This window comes from Homo sapiens, chromosome 7 (genome assembly GCF_000001405.40).
Source record: "Homo sapiens chromosome 7, GRCh38.p14 Primary Assembly".
Lineage (NCBI taxonomy): Eukaryota > Metazoa > Chordata > Mammalia > Primates > Hominidae > Homo > Homo sapiens.
The window spans coordinates 140,666,882-140,672,879 of NC_000007.14; positions in this window are offsets into that span (position 1 = coordinate 140,666,882).

Genomic DNA, 5,998 nt, shown 5'->3' on the forward strand with positions numbered 1-5,998 from the left:
CTTCTATCCTTGCTGAATATAAATATGCTGTACATTGTTTTGCTGTTGTTACCCCCCCTAACTATGCTAGAAGAAGCACCTATAGAAGGATGTCCCCACTGTACACATACTACCTGGTCAGGGAACAGTATAACTAAAACTCTATTGTGCCATACTTATTATGAGTGTACAAGGACTCGCTTAGGAACTTGTATTTATAATCAGACCTCCTACTCAATTTGTGACCCAGGAAATAACCAACCTTATGTATGTTATGACACCAAGTTTTCACCTGGTAAATGGTTTGAAATCCATGCAGGGTCAAAGGACTGTTCCCTCTTAAACCAAACCAAGGTCCCTCCCTTTTACCTAGGGCCTATTTCTCTATATTTTGATGCTTGTCAGGTAGCATACCTAGACTCACCCGTCTGTCGTAACCTACCTTTAAAAAGAGACTATAAAAATGACTACAAATATGTATGCAAGTCACCTCGTCCCCCTGGGACCCCAGAAAAAGATTGTCAGTATTGCATATCGTGGCACCCTAGCACACAACAAAGGCCAATTATGCTTACCAAAATGATGGTAAAACCAGATTGTAAAACAAAAACCTGTGATCCTATAAATTTCACCATTCTAAGGCCAAACCTACCCATGTGGACTGCAGGTTACCCCACACATGTCTACATACACACATACCCAGCAACCTACCTATATGTTATCAAAAAGGAAACCCGGACCCATCTGGCCCAGCAACAATTCTGAGTCTTTAAATCATTCTATAAGCATGTAGACTAAAAGTTACCAGAGCCTCCTCCTTTAACCAAAAACCTGTTTGCTCAGCTGGCTGAAAACATTGCTGGCAGCCTAGGCATTTCCTCATGTTATGTTTGTGGAGGAACTAACATGGGAGACCAATGGCCTTAGGAAGCAAAAAAGTTAATGCCACAAAATTATTTTACTCTGACCCTGAACTGACACCCATAAGTTCAAGCATCTGGCTCCTAAAAACTTCTATTACAGAAAGATACTCTGTTGCTCACTGGGGAAAGGCTTTTACAGACCCAGTAGGAGAACTAACCTGCTTAGGACAGCAATATTATAATGAAACACTACGGAAAACTTTGTGGCAGGGCAAAGATAACTCCAAATCACCTCATCCAAATCCATTCTCCCATTTCTCTTCTCTAAACCATACCTAGTATCGGCATAAAGCTCCAAATACCTGGCAAGCACCCTCTGGTCTCCGCTGGATCTGTGGGCCATGGGCCTACCAACAGTTGCCAGCCAAATGGACAGGGGCTTGTGTACTTGGAACAATTAGGCCATCTTTCTTCTTACTCCCACTGCAACAAGGAAAAACTTTAGGGTGTCCTGTCTATAATAAAATTTTAAACAAAACACAAAAGAAATAGAGACATAAAAAAAGACACAAAAATAGAAAATTAAAAAGACACAGATTGGCTCCCTGAAAGAATAATTCAGTACTATGGGCCAGCTAGGCACAAGATGGGTCGTTGGGATACCGTACCCCAATTTACATGCTTAACCACATCACAAGGTTGCAGGCAGTACTTAAAATCATCACTAATGAAACAGCAAACGCATTGGATTTACTGCCCAGCAAGCCACAAAAATAAAAAATGCCATCTACCAAAAGAGTTTAGCTTTAAACTACCTCCTAGCCCAGGAAGGAGAAGTATGAAAAAAGTTTAATCTAACTAATTACTGCCTAAAAATTAATAACAACGGGAAAGCTATGATGAAAATAACTGCAAAAACAAAAAAATTAGCCCATGTTCCAGTCCAAACTTGGAAGGGGTGGACTTCTAATTCCTTCTTTGAAGGCTGGTTTTCTGTCTTCGGTGGATTCAAAACCTTAATAGGAGTAGTTCTAGCCATACTAGGAATTTGTTTAATACTCCCTTGCCTCTTACCCCTCCTTATTAAAAGCATCCAATCAACTATAAAAGCCATTGTAACTAGGCAAACTACCACTCAGCTAATGGCTCTGTGAATATCAGCCTGTGCCTAAAAAAGAAGATCTGCTCTTTCATAAAAAATCAAATAATAGGGATGCTTTCTATTAAAATCTTGTTTATAAAAAAAGCATCAAAGGGGAAACTGAGGCAGAAATTTAAGGAAAAATAAATACTGCATTTATTCACTCCAAGAAAAGTAAGGGTTAAGTAAGAAACACAAGTTTTCCTCTACTGCAAGCAAGGCTGTAGACAGGTTGTAGTGACCTAGCCTGCAAAAATGAGCTCCAGACACCCCTGAGCAAGGTTAAAAGAAAAAAAACAAATTCCTTTACTGTCTCTCCTGTACTGAACTATTAGTTATGACTATGTTTGCCAATGCTTATATTTAGTAAAATTTATAAATTCCTGTTTTTCTTTCAACGTAGCTGGAAGGTCACTAGCTATACAAGGCCACAAGTTATGCCAAGTCAACAGTTATGCCATAAATTACATGACTTGTAATTTATGTAATTACCGCCTTTGTTTTGCTCTTGTATACTAGCCTATATAAGCTAAACTCTGTCTTTGTTTGGGGCTCAGGTTTTTAAATGTGAATCCACTGAGCCAGTGCGTACCTTAAAATAAATATCCTCCTATATTCACCCATACTTGTCTCTCTAGTCCTCTGCGTCCCCCAACAATATAAATGACAATATTTGCTACCATTTATTGCATCATGGTGCTAAGCACATCACAGACAGCTGGCTTACTCCTTACCACAGCCTTCAGTGATTACAGATGGGGAACACAGGCTCAGAGAGGTTAAGTAACTAGGAATTGAGGCCAGACCTATTTAGCTCCATAATTTGCCATTCTTAACTACTGTTAGATATGCTAATTCCCAGAATCATAAATGCACATCTGGAGGACTTTTTTTTTTTTGAGATGGAGTTTCACTCTTGTTACCCAGGCTGGAGTGCAATGGCGTGATCTCAGCTCACTGTAACTTCTGCCTCCTGGGTTCAAGCAATTCTCCTGCCTCAGCCTCCTGAGTAGCTGGGATTACAGGAATACATCACCACGCCCGGCTAATTTTGTATTTTTAGTAGAGACAGGGTTTCTCCATGTTGGTCAGGCTGGTCCCGAACTCCTGACCTCAGGTGATCCGCCCGCCTCAGCCTCCCAAAGTGCTGGGATTACACATGAGCCACTGGGCCAAGCCTAAGCCACCACGCCCAGCCCCTGAGCCACCTCGCCCAGCCCCTGAGCCACCTCGCCCAGCCTGAGCCGCTGAGCCCAGCCTAGAGCTTTTAGTTGAATTTGGATAGCTTTCATTAAATTCCCCCCCAGCATTTTGCTTAAGGAGAAACAAAGGTCCAGAAAGACGTACCTGGAATCATATTGTTTTGTTGTTGTTGTTGTTGTTGTTTTTGTGCTTTGAAGAGAGCGGTACTAGAATCATATTGTTACCTCCTAATTAGGGGGCTAGAACCTAGGGCCCCTGGTTTCAAATTAAGTCCTCAATTAGCCCTTTGATGAATCAGAGACACACAAGAATATTCTATACATCTTTTTTTTTTTCCTCCTAGATTGAGTGGGTAAATAAATCAGGAGGAAGTTAGGGAAGGGGGCAATTAATGGCTGGTGCTATTGCAAGCTAGTGGTGGTAGGTTTGACTTCTGGGGAGTGGATTGTTAGTTATCAAGGCAAGAGGAGCCACTGGTCACCCTCCCCCGCATTCCTGTCTGTAGCCTAGGTCCCACAGTTTGGGAACCTCCTTAAGGGATGGCTGTCACACTTCCAGCAGTGGGAACCGGGTGCATAGGCCTGTTCTTGCTTCTCTTTCCTTAGCGCCCCTTCCACTTATGATGCCCACAGACCCACCCTTGGGCAGATTTCTGTGGAAGCCTCTCACTTGGGGATAAAGCCTGTCTATATGTAGAGGTGACTGTGGTCCCTCAAGGCAGGCAGCTGCAAAAATCTCAAAGGACAGAGAAGATGGTTGTAGAAGCAGTACCATGGGACCCTTCAATGGCTCTGTGGGCTGATTTCCAAGCTCCACCCCTCTCCCCTTGGTCACAGGGCCACCTGACTTCCCTTTGGTTCTTCGAGGTTATACAACATCCCCACCTGCCAAACCTCATACCAAACTCCTTCCTATGTTTAGGGCTTTATTTGGCCCCCTCCTCTAAGGCTTTCTCTGGCCTTCCCTTCCTCTCCAGGGTAGTTGCATGCTATGTGTGCCTCTGGTAATCTTTTTTTTTTCATGGCTTTTTTTTTTTTTTTTTTTTGACAGAGTCTCCCTCTGTCGCCCAGGCTGGAGTGCAGTGGTGCCATCCTGGCTCACTGCAACCTCTGCCTCCTGGGTTCAAGCCATTCTCCTGCCTCAGCCTCCTGAATAATCTGGGACTACAGGCATGCACCATCACACCCAGCTAATTTTTGTATTTTTAGTAGAGATGGGATTTTACCACATTGGCCAGGCTGGTCTCGAATGCCTGACCTCAAGTGATCCCCCCGCCTCGGCCTCCCAAAGTGCTGGGATTACAGGTGTGAGCCACCGTGCCCGGTCATTTCTTGCATGGCTTTGCCACACTTTGAAACTGCACATTTTGATTTCTTATCATGGGTGTTTTTTTAAAAAAAATTGAAATTGCACATTTATATGTTCCCATGTTGGGTCCCCCTCATTACGTATTCAGCCAGTAAGGGCAGGATATTTGTGTCCGCTTTCCCAGGGTCCAGCACATGACCTAGCTTGATCAGTACATATTATTGAGCCTCGACAAATATGAGATTGGGCTCAAGAAATATTTATTGGGCTCAGTGAGTATTATTGAATGAATGAATATGGCCTTTCCGGAGCCTTTCCCCAAGGTCCAACACAATTGCCGAATTAATGCAGCCGAGGACACAGCATCCAGTTCCTACTCCTGCAGCCCAGTTACCCCCATCCAACACCACCCCCCTACCCAACCCCCGCTGAAAAGCGGACCTGTGTTCAGAACCTGCCTTCATACTTTTCAGCCATGCTCTTTGGAATAATGAAAGATACGAAGAAGTCAGTGGGAAGATAGACATGGGGAGGGGGACATAGAGGGTGCCTTTGCGTTTTGCTACCCAGGACCCAGGACTCAAGGGCAGGGTGGTCTTGGCCTGGGGTCGCCGTCCTCTTTAAGGGGCGGGTCAAGGGACCCTGGCTGCCCGGGCCTCTGCCACCGACCCTCTGCTCCCTCCGACCCTCACCGCCCAGCACCCAGCCCTCTGCCCCCACCGGCCACCCTGTAACAGCCCAGCGGGTTCACCTTGCCTGCTGCCTAGACAGAGCCGATTTATCAAGACAGGGGCATTGCAATAGAGAAGGAGTAATTCACACAGATCAGGCTGCGCGGGACACTGGGCAGAGTTTTTAAGGACAACTTGGTGGGTGGGGGAAGGCCAGTGAGTCGAGAGTGCTGATTGGTTGGGTCGGAGGTGAAATCTTAGGGAACTGAAGCTGTCCTCTTGTGCTGAGTTAGTTCCGGAGTGGGGGCCTAAGATCAGATGACCTGGTTTATCGATCTGGTAGGTGTCAGTTGATCCATCAAGTGCAGGGTCTGCAAAATATCTTGAGCACTGATCTTATTAGCAGTTTAGGGAGGGTCAGAATACTGTAGCCTTGCTGCCTGACTCCTAAATCATACTTTCTAATCTTTTGGTTAATTTGTTAGTCCTACAAAGACAGTCTATTCCCCAGGCAAGAAGGAGGTTTGTTTTCAGAAAGGGCTGTTATCATCTTTGTTTTAAACTATAAAGTATAAACTAAGTTCCTCCCAAAGTTAGTTCAGCCAACGCCCAGGAATGAACAAGGACAGCTTGGAGGTTAGAAGCAAGATGGAGTTGGTTAGGTCAGATCTCTTTCATTATCTGTTATAATTTTGCAATGGCGGTTTCAACCTAGTGGCCGAACCCGTCCCATCCATCTCCCGCGCCCCTCCGCTCCACCACAGCCCTCGGTGCCTCGGTTCCCTGCACCTGCACTCCCGCCCGCCCCCGACGCTCCGCCCCCGACGCTCCGC